Source organism: Homo sapiens, chromosome 2 (assembly GCF_000001405.40).
Source record: "Homo sapiens chromosome 2, GRCh38.p14 Primary Assembly".
NCBI lineage: Eukaryota > Metazoa > Chordata > Mammalia > Primates > Hominidae > Homo > Homo sapiens.
Window position 1 is genome coordinate 201777130 of NC_000002.12, and position 17781 is coordinate 201794910.

The 17781-nt window shown below is 42.4% G+C and overlaps 1 protein-coding gene across 7 annotated transcripts in view, besides 4 other annotated features; it reads right to left on the reverse strand.

Moving 5' to 3' along the window:
• Positions 1-3804, reverse strand: part of ALS2 (alsin Rho guanine nucleotide exchange factor ALS2) — an 80667-nt gene extending 76863 nt beyond the window's left edge. For 6 of the 7 annotated variants that reach the window (NM_001410975.1, NM_020919.4, XM_047445238.1 and 3 more), the window contains exon 1: positions 3748-3804. The gene's annotated coding sequence lies outside the window, so the exon portion shown is untranslated. Of the gene's footprint in view, positions 1-2849 lie in introns of all 7 variants that reach the window. The other variant, XM_006712654.4, reaches the window with a different exon arrangement.
• Positions 3474-3643: a silencer, noted in NCBI's record as "silent region_12236". NCBI's record gives its function as "represses an Ori minimal core promoter by ATAC-STARR-seq in GM12878 lymphoblastoid cells {active_cell/tissue: GM12878}" and the evidence as "EXISTENCE:reporter gene assay evidence [ECO:0000049][PMID:35858748]".
• Positions 3774-3843: an enhancer, noted in NCBI's record as "active region_16992". NCBI's record gives its function as "activates an Ori minimal core promoter by ATAC-STARR-seq in GM12878 lymphoblastoid cells {active_cell/tissue: GM12878}" and the evidence as "EXISTENCE:reporter gene assay evidence [ECO:0000049][PMID:35858748]".
• Positions 3854-4083: an enhancer, noted in NCBI's record as "active region_16993". NCBI's record gives its function as "activates an Ori minimal core promoter by ATAC-STARR-seq in GM12878 lymphoblastoid cells {active_cell/tissue: GM12878}" and the evidence as "EXISTENCE:reporter gene assay evidence [ECO:0000049][PMID:35858748]".
• Positions 4094-4163: an enhancer, noted in NCBI's record as "active region_16994". NCBI's record gives its function as "activates an Ori minimal core promoter by ATAC-STARR-seq in GM12878 lymphoblastoid cells {active_cell/tissue: GM12878}" and the evidence as "EXISTENCE:reporter gene assay evidence [ECO:0000049][PMID:35858748]".

The window sequence follows — 17781 nt, forward strand, 5'->3', positions numbered from 1 at the left end:
AACATGTCCAAATTCCTTTGAGGGCCTTATTATACAACTTGCTCCCCTATACTTCCAGAGTTCATGATTGGTATATGCCTACATTTCCCAAGCATCTCTAGAATGTTAATTCCCCTGCAGGCTTCATGTCCTAAAGAAAGCATTTTCCCAGGAGCACAAACAGCAAAGCAAAACTGACCAAATAATTGGTCTGTCTCCTCTCCTTAGAAAAGCTTTACATAGTGGAGCTGCACTGGCACATTCCTTTCTTATTGCAGGGAAAGAAGAGTTCTTTTTCCACAGTCTCCTAATTTGAGGGTACAAAGTAAAATAAAGCAAACATATTGGGAAACAGTCCTGATTATAAATAAAAATGTTAAAGTGCTAGTTTCACAAACTATCTTAACTATACATAAAACTGTAAAAATAAATAACAAATCTATGTACTCATCATCCAGTTTTAACACATATTAACATATTTTCATATTGGCTTCAGCTCTTTTTTAAAACACAAGAAAAAATAAGTTACAGAGGTGAAGAAACTCCACTCAGAATTAGTTACTATTTCTAAAGTTAATGTATCCCATTCCCACGTTTTCATATTTACTTTTATGTACTTTCATTAGATATACACATATCAATAAATAATGCATGCTATTATGTTGCTTTCAAAGTGTACACAAATGCATCTTACTGTATAAATCCTTTAGCATTTTGCTTTTTTCACCCAGTATTACATACTTGAGATGTATATATGTTGGTAAGTATAGATCTAGCTCATTCATTTTTATGAGAAGATAGTATTGAATTGCATGAATAAACCAGTTTATCCATTTCCCCACTAATCTTTACAGTTGGATTGCTCTACTTTATTGCTCTTTTAAAGAGCTGCTATAATCATCCTTGTTATATGTTTGCTTAGCCAATTGCCCCAAGTTTAGTTAAGATCTTGGCTCTACAAAAATTTAGGCTGTGGAAGAAAAAAAAATCCTGGAGTGAATGTTAGCCCACCCAAATGCCATTATTGGGTCTAAACCACTCCCTTCCTGATAGGGAGGCCATGTGAACTGAAGAACTGTGTGATGACTCAAAAGAAAAATATTTAAAATGTGATAATTAAGGGAAACATGAGATGATCAATTTGTGGAATTAATGAGATGAAAGCTGATCTTCTCTCTGGACATAATTCACTAGCAGCTAAGCGAAACTCTGCCAACAAACCCCAGTCTTTTTCTCATAGGTATTGAGAAAACTGTAAATTTTCTTCAAATTTGAAAGAAATATACAATAGCTCCAAAAACTACCAATTTAAATATTTTTTCCTCTACCCACCTGGATCAATCAGTTCAGCTACATGCAGGCAAACATCAAGACATAAGCTAAAGAAAGCACCATCACATATACAGATGAATAAGAGACAGGGAAAGGAAAATTAAATGCAATATGAAAAAGAAACAAGCCAGAGATTGTTGCTATTTTATTGATGACTACCTAACATTTTCTTAAGGACTGACACCCTACAAAACCGAGTACTTTCTTATTACAGACAACAAAATTGTTTGGTCATCAATGAAGGGTTAAGAGAAAAAAATCTGTTAAAACTCTCTACCAGGAAAATTCATATCCTGAATACACTTGAAATACGTGGTAGATTTAATTCCACAAAGTTATAAAAAGAGCTAAATGATTTAAAAGTCACAAATCCTCACAGCATGCCTCTGAGTGAGAAAGGTACCTCATAGTACCCAAAGCGGGCCTTCCTTTATACAAGCTTAAAAATCACCACTCTGCCTTTCTTCCTAGTTTTTCAACTCATACTTTACCTAGTCTCACATTAATAAATAATTGTAGATTTTTACAAGTCAGTCACATTTTTGAGATTATCATTAGAATGGACCCAGCAGCTACTGCTTTAAACCCAGTTTTCATGAAAAGGTAGGAGATTCCACCTAATTACAAAAACACTAACATCAAGACTCATTGAAGTTCTTAGCATACCCTTTGCTTCTTTAACAGTCAAAGTGCCCAAAGTAAGTGTTTCAAATGACAGCCCAAATTCTGAAAAACTGAAATTTGGAGAGAAGGGATTCCTGTTTATATTGAGTACATTTAAAAAGTAAATGGCCTGCATAATGCCACTCAAGTTTTGTTTTTTTCCCAAAATTATCGGTTTGGTATTTCATTTTTCTGGATCATTACAGTTTCAAATTTTAACACTGTTAAACAACTTTGACGTTTTCTTGCTATAATTATGAATTTTAAATCTGCTAATACTGGTCATAGTTTAGAAACTAATAAATTCAAACCATGTATAGATTCTGTCAGTATCTTTTTCACATTAAAATGTCCTTATGGAACACCAAAATTACTACAGAACAACTTGAAATCATATTTTATAGCTACTTCCTTAAAATATTCAGTTCCCTTCCCCATCACTTAAGAAAAGAGTCAGTTTGGATCATGATGTAGTGGGAGGAATTAATTATAAAAACAGCTAATATGTATTGAATATTTACCATAAAACAGGCACTGTAATAAATACGATACATGAACCATTACACGTAAAGGTACTGTTATCAGGAAAACATTTTTATCCCCAATTTAGAGACAAGAGAACTGAGGCAGAGAGATTAAATAACTTGCCCAAAATCAAAGATGTAAATGGATGTGACTCTGGGTATGTTCAGATACAAAGCCTAGAATCTTAACCACTATGCTTATGTTATCAAGGTTAAAACACCGTAGTTTACTGCAAAAAATTTTTCACTGCTTTAAATTATTCATTAACTCAAAGGTCAACCGGTCACTCCAAATCATATGATAAATGGGGGGGAAAATGTGGGACCAATAGGTTTGCTGAAGTTTTGTACCTGCTCAGAATAAACATATCACACAATTTTATTCCATATAGCCAAATATAAGGGTAACTGAGTAAAGATCTTCACTTGGGTACAGCAGTCAGTTCCTTCTCCATCCTAAACCAGAAAGAAAGCACTGTTCTTGGATATGCCACTTCAACAAGAGTGTTTTTTCTCTTCCACCATCAAAGCCTTAAGCAATAGAACGATTCTACCAGTCTACTGTTGCCTGTCTCCAAAGCAGCCCTATTATCCGAGGACGAACACCAGCGTCAAGGACCTGTGTTATTTTTCTGGCTTCGCTTCTCAAAATAACTTATCTTCTCCTCTTGATGAATTACTTGATAGGCTCAAAGACTTGCCTAAACTACTAATTCTTATTATCAAAGCTATTTTCTTTCTCCGCAACCGCCTTTTCAAGTAGCCCTTGGTCCACTCTTCAACGCGATTTGCACCCTGTGGCAAGGCCGCCAGGGACACTCAGCAGGGTTCCAGGCCACGGACCCCAGTTTATCAGCTCAGCGCCTAGTGTGGGCATTCAAGAAATTCTCGTGAATGAATAGCTGGAAGGCAGCGTGGGTGGAGGCGGGAAGAGGGGGCTTGAAGGAATTTCACGCAGCTGAGACCACTGCAGCGGCGCCCAGTCTGGGGAGGGAGAGACCGGGGCAAGTGGGAGAACCTGGGGCCAAGGCAGGGGCCGCCTCGGGCGCTGCTGGACCGGCAGGAGCAGTCGATCGCACCCAGAGCTGGGAAAATGCGGGCGCCGTCTCCGCAGGCCCCCCGCAGGGCGCTCTCCGGCCTCGACCACAGCCTCCGCCTAGCTCCCTGTCCCCGGCCTTCCGCATACAAGGGGTCCCAGCCGATAAGCCCTCCTTAGCCAATAGCCAACCCGGGACCCACACTCGCTCACCTGAAGCTCCACCGGCAGCACCGCGCTCCGCATCCGGCGCGAGCTTGGCAACCCAGTGGGTCCGCGGGATCAGCTGATTCATGGAGGGCGGGGCCTCCGGACAGGGCGGGGCTGCAGGGCGACTAGCGAAGGTAAACGAGGGCGCGGGCGGCTCTTGGAATCCGAGCTCCTGGGAATTGTTCTTGGGAGACTGTCGACGGCGTCTGTTGGGGGTCAAAATTGCTGAGAATGCGTTAGGCACTGCAGGCTACGTACTTGGGAGCACAGTCTCTCCCTTAGTTTAGGGCGGAGCTATCAGTCCTGAGATGCGCTTTGATGATGACGTAGAATAGAGTCGTCCAAGCCTAGCTACCCGAGCGCTCCCATGGTAACAGGCGGTGGTGAAAGTGGTTGGGAGCAGCAGTCGTTTGTTACCACCTCAAACTGCAAGGGCCGGAAGTATAAAAGTAAAAAGGCTGAAATATTTTCAAATTGCCTTTATGGACAGTACCCTAACAGTGGTCGCTTCTCCCCCCTACTCCCGCGAATGACGTCATCGCCTCGCGGCCCCGTTTCGCCATTGTATCCTCAATGTGTAAACTTACTGGTTAGTTGCAACCCCAAAAGATGGGGTGGGATAGGAGAAAATGAAGTGGCCTCTCCAGTGATTCCCGTAGTACTCCCCAATATACAATCAGTAAAATCAGCTTTCTTGTCCCGCGCACAGTTTCATAACACTGTTTTTCGCAGCCACAGTCCCACCCCACCCAGCCTGCACTCTCAAGTCCTCCCATGATTTTATGATTTTCCAGAGCTGCCACTCATGTCGCACAGTGGGTGCAAACCTTCTGCTGCTAGGCATTGTGCCATCGCTGGACCTGCAAACATGCAAATATTTAGACCATCAACGACAGATGTGTAGTCGGGTTCTGAAACTCCTATATCCTATTCACCAACACCCTCAACTCAATTTCCTCCCTGATCCTTCGCCCACCTGCAAAACTGTTAGTCTGCAACAGTTCAACCAACCTTGCTCACTCCTGCATCGGTGCAGAAAATCACACAACCCTGAGAATTGGCACCACTGCGAACGAAAAGTGTCCAACTTCAGTCGGGACTTCCACGTGCGACTACGCAATATTGCTGAGCCTAAGACAGTCACATTTACACATTGCTACTCAGATTATCTCCTATTCCCCTCCCCTGCTGTTCCCAGCCCTCACGCTCTTCTAACCTCTTACTGAACTCTACTCACTCACCCGCTTTGGTAAAAATAAAAATAAAAAATTTTGTCTCTTACATCTCTGAGGAAAGTGAGACCACTAGAGGTGAATTTCCTTAAATCCCAAATCCCATCAGCCACTACCACAAAACCTACCTGCAACCAGTTTTGATTTGTTTTGTTTTGTTTAGAGGGAGTCTCGATCTGTCGCCCAGGCTGGAGTGCAGTGGCGCGATCTCGGCTCACTGCAACCTCCGCCTCCCAGGTTCAAGCGATTCTCCTGCCTCAGCCTCCCAAATAGCTGGGATTACAGGTGCCCGCCACTACGCCCGGCTAATTTTTGTGTTTGTAGTAGAGATGGGATTTCACCATGTTGGCCAGCCTGGTCTCGAACTCCTGACCTCAATTGATCCACGTGCCTCAGCCTCCCAAGGTGCTAGGATTACAGGCGCGAGCCACCGAGCCCCGGCTCCTTTTCACCGAGTCCTTTTCTTCTCCCTCTTTCTTCTTAGAAGATCCTGAACTCAGGATCCCTAATCTCCCCAAAGGAAAGACTTTGTTCTGTTGATGAAAAAAGACAAACTTTATAAAATATTTGAAGAGGTTAAATATACTCTGATCGAAACATGAGTAACCATGGCCTGGGACACAGCCTCAAGAAGTCCTGAGAACATGTGCCCAGGGTGGTTGGGTTATAGCTTGGTTTTATACATTTTAGAGAGACAGAAGTTATAGGCAAAGACATAGATCAATACATGGGGGGCCGGTGGTGCTCACAGATTATAGGTGGATTCAGAGACTTTATGATGGGTTGAAAAAGCTAAGCTTTTCCTAAAGAGTTGAAGTTAGCAGAAAGAAATATTTGAGTTAAAATGAAGGGGGTTATAGAAGCCAAGGTTCTTGTTACGTAGATGAAGCTTCCAGGTAGCATATGTTATAGGACCTTAAAATGTGTCAGACTCTTGGTTAAATCTCTCCTGGATCAAGAAAAGACCTGAAAAAGGAAAGTGATTCTGTATAAAATGCAAATTCCCCCCACAAGAGACAGCTTTGCAGGGTCATTTCAAAATATGTCAAAGAAATATATTTTGGGGTAAAATATTTTTATTTTCTTCAGGGCCAACTATCTGTCTTGTAATGCTATACCATAGTCAGGTTAGAGTTGGATAATCTTATTGCTACAAGAGTCTATTTTGTCAGTCTTATGATCTCTATTTTCATTTCATGAAAATGGTTTAGACCACTTTAATGCTGGTCTAAACTCCAAAGGGAGAGGATATAATGAGGTATGTCCAACCTGCCTTCGCATCATGGCCTTAACTAGTTTTTAAGGTTTTCTTTAGGATCCCCTTGGCCAAGGAGGGTGGAGGGAGATCTATTCAGTTGGTTGGGGGGGCTAAGAATTTCATTTTTTTATTTACATTTCCATTACTTATCCCTTCTCCTTCATGTATTTTCAACCTCTGCCTGTCTTCTTATTCCTATATACTTACAGTGTATAAACCTGCTATCTATCTCATCTTTAATTTTTTTACTTTCTGCCTTTTTTCCTTTCCAACCTCATTTCCTACCTCTACTTTCTGACTTCCCAGTCTTCCTCACCATTTCCTTAAGTCTACTGAAATCAATAGTCATCTTCTCATTTTGTAATCTAATGGTACTGTCATAGAATGGAAGCATTCTATGCAACCATCTAAAACAAAGAGGATGATCTCTATATACTGATATGGAATGATCTGGAAATTAGGAGATAAGAGAAAAAAGCTAGATGCTAAGTCCTGTCCATAGTAGTCTACCAATTGTGTGTTATGTATGTCTTTTCAGGAGAGAGATAGGTAGGTTGGAAGATAGTGTAAACTGAAGAATCACCTTTCTAAATTTGAGATATACAAATTGTCTCAGATTTAGAAAGGAGACTTCGTTTTTTTTTTTTTTCTGAGACAGAGTCTTGCTCTGTCACCCAGGCTGGAGTGCAGTGGCTTGATCTCAGCTCACTACAACCTCCGCCTCCCAAGTTCAAGTGATTCTCCTGCCTCAACCTCCCGATTAGCTGGGATTACAGGCACGCGCCACCACACCCAACTAATGTTTGTATTTTCAGTAGAGATGGGGTTTCACCATGCTGGCCAGGCTGGTCTCAAACTCCTGACCTCGTGATCCACCCGTCTCGGCCTCCCAAAATGCTGAGATTACAGGTGTGAGCCACTGCACCCCGCTGAGACTTCTTTTCTTATAAAGAGTTATAACCTGCAAGGTGGCCATACTGACAGGCTTGGAAGTATAGCCTACAGTAGAGACCATTAGCAGGCATTTTGAAGGAGGAACGATTGAGTCAGGAGCTGAATGGGTTGGCTAAACATACACATTGAACAGATTGAATATTCACTAAGGGGGGTCCTGACACATGTATACTGAATAGCATGCATGTTACATGCACCCCATGTTCACTTTGGGATAGAGACTTAACATTAATTGCATTACATAATTATAATATCATTTTGATATAGAGGGCAATTATAATTATGTAATGCATTTAATGTTGAAGGTGAAGCAGGAATACAAAGGCACTTAAGTGCTCAGCCACTGTGAACTAGCCAGAACCAGTCCATGGCCGGTGGTCTCTTATCAGGAGAAAGTTACTGAAATCAGTGTCTTGTCCAATCAAAGCTATAGTTATGGCTTGTGGGACAGAGGCTCAGTTAGTCAGCATCTGGTGGTAAATGAGCTGCAATTGTTTTAATATTGCTTATCTCAATGCCAGCACTTGTTTAGCTGCTAGGAAAAAAAAAAAGAAAGAAAGAAACCTTTGGCAGTTAGAACATAGCTCATTCATTCATTCATTCATCTTTGAGACAGGATCTTACTCTGACACCCAGGCTGGAGTGCAGTGGCGTGAACATGGCTCACTGTAGCCTCAACCTTCTGGGCTCAGGCGATCCTCCCACCTCAGCCTCCCGAGTAGATGAGACTATAGGTGCATGCCACCACACTCAGTTAATTAATTTTTTTTTTTTTCTGTAGAGACAGGGTCTCACTCTGTTGCCTAGACTGGTCTCAAACCCCTGGGCCCAAACAGTTCTCCCACCTTGGCCTCCCAAACAGGTGCGAGCCACTGCACCTGGCCCAGAACATAGGTTATTCTTTAAGTGTAGGGGTGTGTGACAACCTTTTCCTGGTGTGACCTTAGATCCTGTTTGTAATTTGGTATCTTATTGCCACAAAGAGTCTGTTCCATCAGTCTTGTGATCTCTATTTTAACGGCTCGTCACGTGTCTAAGCCACAGAAGGGAGGGGTTATAATGAGGCATGTCTGACTCTGCCATTGCCAGGAACTCAGTTTTTAAGGTTTCTCAGGGGTCCCCTTGGCCAAAAGAGGGTCCATTCAGTTGGGTGGGGGACTCAGGATTTTAATTTTAGTTATCAACAAATAGATAGGTATAACATATATTTTTATCCTAGTATATGCATGTATTAGCTCTGAAAGGATAAAGAGTGGCTACCACTGTGGAGGGGAATCAGGAACAAGAGGGAGAAGAAAATTCACTTTTCCCTCTATGCCATTTTGTGCTGTTTAAATTTTTAATCATATGCTCTTTACTTATTTTTAAAGCTTTTAAACTTTATTTTGGCAGGGTCTTGCTCCATCGCCAAGGCTGAAGTACAGTGGCACAATCTTGGCTCACTGCAGCCTTGACTTCCTAGGGTCAAGTGATCCTCCCACCTCAAGCTCCCAAGTAGCTGGGATTACAGGTGCACACACCTGGCTAATTTTTGTATTTTTAGTAGAGATGGGGTTTCACATGTGGCCCAGGTGGCCCAGGCTGGTCTCGAACTCCTGATCTCAAGCGATCCGCCTGCCTTGGCCTCCCAAAATGGTGGGATTACAGGCGTGAGCCACTGCACCCATCCCTAAACATTTTCCTTAAGGGTCTAGTTCTCAATCGTATCTTCCTTTCACTTTTTTCTTCCTTGACTGCCGGGACACACTCCTTCCAAGAGTCATAGCAGGAGTTTCCCCCCTACTCCTTCAGACCTTTCCTTTACCTTTGCAGACTCCTTTCACCTGCCCCTTAAATTCAGGGACAAAATAAATATTTATTACATACTTATTATGTGTCAGGCATTGTTATAGGCGCTGAAAAGACATAATAATGAATAAAATAGACACGAGTCCCTGATCTCATGGAACAAACACTCTGGTGGTGTGGAAGAGAGTCTCAACACGGAAGTCATCACTTCCTCCCTCCATGCATACAAACATCATTATTGACATCAAGAGATGGATCCTGTGTCCTCTCCCCGCAAATGTAGGCTAGCCTTGAGACTTTCTTTTTTAAGTAATAGAATGTGGCAGTAATGAAGTTCTGAATCAAGGCCTTAAAGAGAACTGGCAGCTTCCATGTTTCTCTCTAAAAAGCCAGCTTCCATGTTTTTCTCTAAAAAGCCAGCTTCCATGGTATACCCCAGATTGATTGACCATATGAAGAGAGAGGTCACATGGATAAACACTGAGGTACCAGACATATGAGTAAAGCCTTCTGGGACCTTCCAGGTCAGCCCAGTCACCATCTGAATGCAGCTGAATGAGTGGCATCAGCCAATGCCAAGTGAAGCAGAAGAACAGCCTAGTCAAACACTTCCTGAATTCCTGACCTAAATTCCTGAGAAATAATAAGTTGTTGCTTTAAGCCACCAAGTTTTGGGGTGGTTGGTTATGCAGCAGTAACTGAAACAAGTGGGAAGAATGGGAGATAATAAATCTAAAATATGGTAATGACCAGGGCTATAAAGAGGCAAAATAGTGCAGTAGCTAAAAGGCCATGCTGGAGCCAGACAGCCTGCATTCACATTTCAACTCCAGCTTTGTGACCTTGGTGCAATTTGTTTAACCTCCCTGTGTCTCAATGTCATCATCCAGAAAACGGATAATAATGTTGCCTACTTTATGGAGTGATATGAGATTTAAATGACCTAATATATATAAAGTGCTATTGTACCTGGTACATAGTAAATGTTATGTATGTTGTTATTACTATTATTATTGAGAACAACAAAGAAAGGTGAGGAACTAGAAGGCAAAGGGTCTAATTTTATATTAACTGGACAGGGAAAGCCTCTCTTTTAAGAAGACATCTGGGCCGGATGTGGTGGCTTACGCCTGTAATCCCAGCATTTTGGGAGGCCAAGGTGGGCGGATCACGAGGTCAGGAGATCGAGACCATCCTGGCTAACACAATGAAACCCCGTCTCTACTAAAAAATACAAAAAATTAGCCGGGCGTGGTGATGGGCCCCTGTAGTCCCAGCTACTCGGGAGGCTGAGGCAGGAGAATGGCGTGAACCCAGGAGGCAGAGCTTGCAGTGAGCTGAGATCGCGCCACTGCACCCCAGCCTGGGCGACAGAGTGAGACTCCGTCTCAAAAAAAAAAAAAAAAAAGAAGAAGACATCTGAACAGAGACCTGTAAAGAAGTGAGGACATAAACCACATGGACATAACTGCAAAGGCAAGGAGGGTGCTGCTGCTAGAGCTGAGAAAAGGGTGGGAAGGTGAGAGATAAGATAAGAGCCAGTAGATAATGATCTGGTAATAGGGCCAGGAAAAGAACTAAGGGTTTATCTGAGTGATACAGGCAACCCTTGGAGGCCTTTTCACAGAGGGTTTTGTAATCTAGCTTCCCTTTTTCAAGGGATGATTGTTCTGCTTTGTGGAGAGTAGAGAACAGAATGTAGGAGTGGAAGATTGGAAGCGGAAAGATCAGTAAGAGGCTAATGTAATAGTTGCAGATAGTTATGATGGCTTAGCCCCAAGCGGCAATTGAGGAAAAGGTAAAAAGCGGTTTGGTTCTGGATGTATTTTGAAGGTAGAGCCTGCCATATTTGCTCATTGATTAGACATGAGCTTTGAAAAAAAGAATTAAGGCCTGAGTTATTGGTAAAGATGAGCTGGCTGGGTGCAGTGGCTTACGCTTGTAATACCAGCACTTTGGGAGGCTGAGGCAGGAGGATCACCAGAGGTCAGGAGTTCGAAACCAGCCTGACCAACATGGTGAAACCCCGTCTCTACTAAAAATGCAAAAATTAGCTGGACGTCATGGCATCTGCCTGTAATCCCAGCTACTAGGGAGACTGAGGCAGAAGAATCGCTTGAACTTGGGAGGTGGAGGTTGCAGTAAGCAACCTTGCACTCAACTCCGTCTCAAAAAAAAAAAATAAGCTGTAATTTACTGAGATAGGGAAGACTGGAAAAAGAGTATATTGGAGGCTATGGGAAGGAAGTATTAGGTTTTCATGTTCAGAAAGTGGCAATATTTTATATGGCTACTAGGCATTGACTGGATAGGAGTCTGGTGTTGAGGAGAATGATCAGGGCTGGAGATATAACACTGGAAGTCATTGATAGAAAAGAGAAGCAGTCTGAAGCCTGAGCCCTGGGACACTCATTCTATTTAGAGATTGTAAGATGGAAAGCATCTAGTCCAAGATCCTGCTGGGTTCTCTGAAGGGAGAAATCATTTGTGTTTGAGAATGATTTGTGTTCGTGAATGAGAACAGAAAGAAGGCCAAAAATAGCTAGCAGAGAAGGGGTGAGAGGGAAGAGTGGCACAAAATGAGGTTACAACGATCATGTAGCGGTTGGTAGGCCAGAGTATGACTTTGTATTTTATCCTAAATCCATCAGAAAGTTTTAAGTGGGGGAATGACCTGACCTGATTTGTATTTTTCAAAGTTCATTCTAGCGTGTGCTTTACAGGTACTTCCATTTCATTAAACAGAATATTAAAAAGATGTTTACTTAAGAGTTAGGAGTTCATAAAATTAATATTATTTGTTTAAGTTCATTCAGACTGAATAGATTATAGGAAATTTAGGAAGGAAGTAACCGCCCAATGGCTTCACCTTTCCTGCTGCCTAGACAGAGCTGATTTATCAAGGAAAATTTATCAGGGAAATTACAATGGAGAAAGAGTAATTCAGGCAGAGCTGGTGTGCGGGAGACCAGAGTTTTATTATTACTCAAATCAGTCTTGGGGGATCGGAGCTTTTAAAGACAAAGTGGCAGGTAGGGGCTTGGGAAGTGGGGAGTGCTGACTGGTAAGATTGGAGATGGAATCATAGGGGGTCGAAGTGGGTTTTCTGGCTGTCTTCTGTTCCTGAGTGGGATGACAGAACTGGTTGAGCCAGATTATGGGTCCGGGTGGTGTCAGCTGATCCATCCAGTGCAGGGTCTGCAAAATATCCCAAGCACTGATCTTAGGTTTTATAATAGTAACATTATCCCCAGGAGCAATTTGGGGAGGTTCAGACTCTTGGAGCCAGAGGCTGCATGACTCCTAAACCTAATTTCTAGTCTTATAACTACCTTGTTAGTCCTGCAAAGGCAAACTGGTCCCCAGGCATGAAGGGGCCCTTTTTCATGAAAGGGTTATTATCAATTTTGTTTCAGAGTCAAACCATGAACTGATTTCCTTCCCAAAGTTAGTTTGGCCTTCACCCAGGAATGAACAAGGACAGCTCAAAGGTTAGAAGCAGGATCGAGTCGGTTAGGTCTGATCACTTTCACTGTCATAATTTCCTCAGTTTTAATTTTTGCAAAGGTGGTTTCAGAAGCAGGGAAACTTAGTAGAAGGTATTGCTTTAGGCCAGATGAGGGATGGTGATGCTTGGACTAGAGAGAGACAGCTGTATGAATAGAGAATTAGATAGATTTGAGTTACTTTCTGGAAGTAGAATTGACATGATTTACTGATGGATTAAATGTGAGATTTTATTTGTATGCTGCCTGGGTTTACTTTTCTGAGTAACTGATTGATGGGAATACCATTTTCTGGGTTTTGTTGTTGTTGTTGTTGTTTTCTTTTTTTTGAGACAGAGTCTCACTCTGTCACCCAGGCTGGAGTACAGTGGCACGATCTTGGCTCACTGCAACCTCTGCCTCCCAGGTTCACACCATTCTCCTGCCTCAGCCTCCCAAGTAGCTGGGACTACAGGCATGTGCCACCATGCCCGGCTAATTTTTTTTTTTGTATTTTTAGTAGAGACAGGGTTTCACCGTGTTAGCCAGGATGGTCTCGATCTCCTGACCTCATGATCCGCCCGCCTCAGCCTCCCAAAGTGCTGGGATTACAGGCATGAGCCACCACGCCCGGCCAAGAATACCATTTTCTGAACTGGAGAAAACTAAGGAGAAGCCATCTCTGCACAGTTCAAGAAATCTGTTTTTGCCATATTATTAAACTTTGGAATACCTTTTAGGCAGTCAAGTAGAAATGTCAAATTGACAGTTGGTGTTGTAAAGAAGTCACGCTGGAGATTTGAGAATTATTCATAGATAGGCGCCGTTCAAAGCCAAGGGACTAGATGAAGTTATCTAGAAGCAAAGTACAGATAAGGCCCAGACTGAACACTGGGTCCACTCAAATTAGGAAGTTGAGCAGGGGAGGAGGAATCAGCAAAGATGGTTGCAGAGGAGTCCCCAGAGAGGCAGGAGGAAAACCAAGGAAGTGCCCACTTCACAGAATCAAGGAGGCTTTCAAAAAGGGTGGCATGATTATGGTGTTAAATGCCACCAAAGAGTAAAGCAAGGTAAGATCTGAGAAGTAGCCTTTGGATTTTGATAGCATGGAATTTCTGGTGACTTGGCAAAGGCAGGTTTGTTAGAGCAATAAACCCAGAAACTTTATTGGGGTGAGTTAAAGACAGAATAGGAGGTGAGGAAGTGAAGACATCTCCTTCAAGGTTTGCTGCGGAGTCAAAACCTGGGGCAGTATCTAGAGAGGATGTGGGGTCAAGGTATAGAGTAGATACTCCAAACCCAAGCATTTAAAAACAACGATGACGACGACAACAGATAGCATGACAGCAAAGCTAGATTTTCTATTAGCAGAATCTGACCTTAAAAGGAAAACAGAAAAGATATCCAAATGTATCTCTCTATATATTGTTGTAGACTCAATACTGTGAGTGCACAGTCTGGGTCAAATCTACTTATAAGTTCTTTTATCATGGCATATATAACACTAATTTACAAACCTGTCTGTCTCTCTTATTAGAGTCTAAGCTCTCAATTTTACTTATTTTTAAATTCGTGAGTCTAGCACAGTGCCTTGCACTTTACTGACTATTCGATGAATTCATTTATTGAGATTCAGCAATTTAACCATTTGTTGAAATGCAGTTCATTGAAATAGACATAAGTACTTGCCTTTTCTGTCACCTACCTGGTTGCCATTGCTTATAGTTCACATCCTGTGATTGGCTGCCCACTGGGAGGAATTGAAGAGAGTTCTTCCCACTTCCCTATCCTTAAAAGTCATACAAGACAAGGATCTTCCTCGTCTCAAACGGCAAAAAGACTGAAAGCAATGGCTTTTCTTCCCCAGAGTGATCCACAAGTGTGGAGTGGTATGTGATGCAGCCTCTGGGAGGTGATGATATTTGGACTAATTTTAATAATGTTGCAATATGATATATTTTTAATGTACTATTTGCAAAATTCTTTGTGTGTGCATTTTATCCTCAAAACAACCCCATACTAGGAATAATTATTCCCAAAATACAGATGAAGAAACTGAGGCCCAGTGACCTGTCCAAGTTAATTCAGCTATTCTAAGTGGGAGACTCAAACCCAGGTCTCCAAACTCCAAATACTCTGCTTTCTCCCTACTTCAACCCCTAATGAATCAAGGTGTTTTTATTTTATTTTTTATTTTTTGAGACAGGGTCTCACTCTATCACCAAGGCTGGAGTACAGTGGGGCAACCATGGCTCACTGCAATCTCGAACTCCTAGGCTCAAATGATCCTCCTGCCTCAGCCTCCTGAGTAGCTGGGACCACAGGCAGGTACCACCATATCCAGATAATTTTTTGATTTTTTGCAGAGACAGGGTCTCCCTATGTTGCCCACACCAGTCTTGAACTCCTGGCCTTAAGTGATCCTTCCACCTCAGCCTACCCAAAGTGCTGGGATTACGGGTGTGAACTACCACGCCCGGACAAATTAAGGTGTTAAGTAGAGTTCAGGACTAATATAAAAAGTGCGGTTTAAGAAAGGGATGATAGAGGATGACAGAAATGAAATAACAAGGTCAGTGAAGGCCAGTATTAAAAACTGAGGATAAGATTCATGGGAGGGTGGTACAGGGATATGCCTTAGAGGGGGATCGGAATGAATACTAAGTAAACATTGGTTCCAGGGGCCCATCCTGTGTGTGTGTATGTGTGGGTGTGTGGGAGAGGTGTATTCACATTTATATAAGTACTCTTATTTAATTTGACAAGTGTTTATTAGGACTCTAAAAGAGGTAGAAGATCTAGTTCATACCCTGACAGTATACTTACCATCTTGTGAGGAAAACAATAAAAATAGTGATTAGAATGAACAAATCAGGATCAGGCGCAGTGACTCATTCCTGTAATCCCAGCACTTTGGGAGGCCAAAGTGGGTGGATCACCTGCGGTCAGGAGTTCAAGACCAGCCTGGCCAACATGGTGAAACCCCGTCTCTACTAAAAATACAAAAATTAGCCGGGTGTGGTGGTGCACTCCTGTAATCCCAGCTACTCGGGAGGCTGAGGCAGGAGAATCACTTGAACCCAGGAGGTGGAGGTTGCAGTGACCCAAGATCATGCCACTGCACTCCAGCCTGGGTGACAGAGCGAGAACGTCTTTAAAAAAATTAAAAAAAAAAAAAAAGATTGCACAAATCAGACAGTGACCCAGAGCTCAGCCTTGAGGAAAGTCAGTGTTGGGGAGGGGAGGGCAAAGAAGCAAGTAAAGGTTTAGCAGACATGGCACCTCAGTCTGGACTTGAAGGAGGGCTAGGCACAAAGGAAGGGGAACATGTCAGATGAGAAACACGTGAAGGTTCAGCCAGATGAGCAAGGAAGGTTGGTTAGAAAGAGGAGCTGCTGGTGTGGCTCCTGTGAACACAGGTAGGTAGGGCACGATAGAGTCAGGCAGTTAGAAGCCAAGCTGAGGAATCGACACTTGATTCCATAGGTAAGTAGGGGAACTTGAGGATGTTTAATCAGAAATGGTCAAAGAGGCATTTAAAAAAACAAACTGCAGGCGGGGCGCAGTGGCTCACGCCTGTAATCCCAGCATTTTGGGAGGCCGAGGCGGGTGGATCACAAGGTCAGGAGATCGCGACCATCCTGGCTAACACGGTGAAACCCTGTCTCTACTAAAAATACAAAAAATTAGCCGGGCGCGGTGGCGGACGCCTGTAGTCCCAGCTACCCAGAGAGGCTGAGGCAGGAGAACGGCGTGAACCCGGGAGGCGGAGCTTGCAGTGAGCGGAGATAGCGCCACTGCACTCCAGCCTGGTCGACAGAGCAAGACTCCGTCTCAAAAATAAATAAATAAATAAATAAACCGCAGAAAGATCTTCTGCGCTTTCAAAGTACAGTCGTAGTCTGGGTACCTTATTCTACTTAACTATTAAAATAGAGATTGTGTGTTTGTGTGTGTGTGTGCATGTTACATTTTTTATTCTTACTAAATTAGATTACATTTCCTCTCTCAAGTTAAACAAGGTAGTTAAGAATAACTTAGATTATTGTTTTTAAAAAATATATGCTGAGATTCTAAGTGGATGAGATCTTAGAAAAGGGGCACTCACCCCTCATTGACATCTGGGAGTATTTTACTATGTGGCTGAACTTCATGCAAGAAGATAAAGCCCAAAGTGAAGAGCAAAGACCTGCTGATGACATGCGGTAATTTGGAGGAATGATTTAAATAGCAATGCTTCTATTCATCTCATACCAAAAAATAATGAGTGGACTGAATGATTAATCACCAGCTGCAGGTAAGCAGATGCTAGCTTGCTATTTTTAAAATGGAAGCACATGCTGTTTGAGACTGGTTGAGACACATTCATAAATCCTATATTGACTTATAAGTAATTAGACATCAAAGCAAGAATATTTTAATAAAATGTAAATATCTATATTTAAATAAAATGTTCTTCTATATCTGAATAGTTTTATGCAATGTGTGCCTAATGGTGTTATACTTCCCTGTCTTTTTCTTTTCTTGTCTCAGTGTTGTTGGCAAAGCCTGTACTGTTGACATGGCCTAGCATTCTGATCTCAAGCTGGGCATTACAAGCACCCTGGTTGGTTTGTTTTTTTCTTTTTAAAATTTCTTTCTTTTTTTTTCTAAAAATTAAGAGCAGTAGTTTAGGGCTAAAGAGCTTCTTTTTTCATATTACAATGCATAACACATACATTTCTATATACGTTTTTATTTAAAAAGCATTAGTCCCCCATCTACCAAAAAATCATGCCTCAGATATTTATTTGCAAGTGAATTGTTTTCCCATAGAAACAGTGAGGTTAATAATGGTTTAGTTCCTGGGCTTACTTACAATTACTGATTTATGATGTCGTTCTTAGCTGAAAGCAATGCTTTTGCAGTATTTTGTAATTTAGAAAATGAGAAGAAAAAACCCTTGGTATGGAGTGAGTCATTTTTCATGAATATCGGTGCTTAGAGAAAAGCATGTTTCAGGGTACCAGGACCGAGAGATCCACGGAAACCATGGAGTTGTGGGGCACAGCGAAGAAGGGGTTGGTGAGCAGAAACAGCACCCTGCCCAGCCATATGGGAGCCCAAAGCAGAAGGAACAATGTGTGCCTTTATACTTATGGATATCAAAATATCCTTCCACATATTGAATCAAGTAGAAAAATTAATATAATTCCTATAATTTGGGAAACACCTATATATAAAGCCCTGTGTTGTCGATCTGTTCTCACATAGAGATCAACCCTCTCTGTAGGGGCTGGGGCAGAGAGGAGGATGGGGAGGGGGGGCCCTCCTGGCAGCC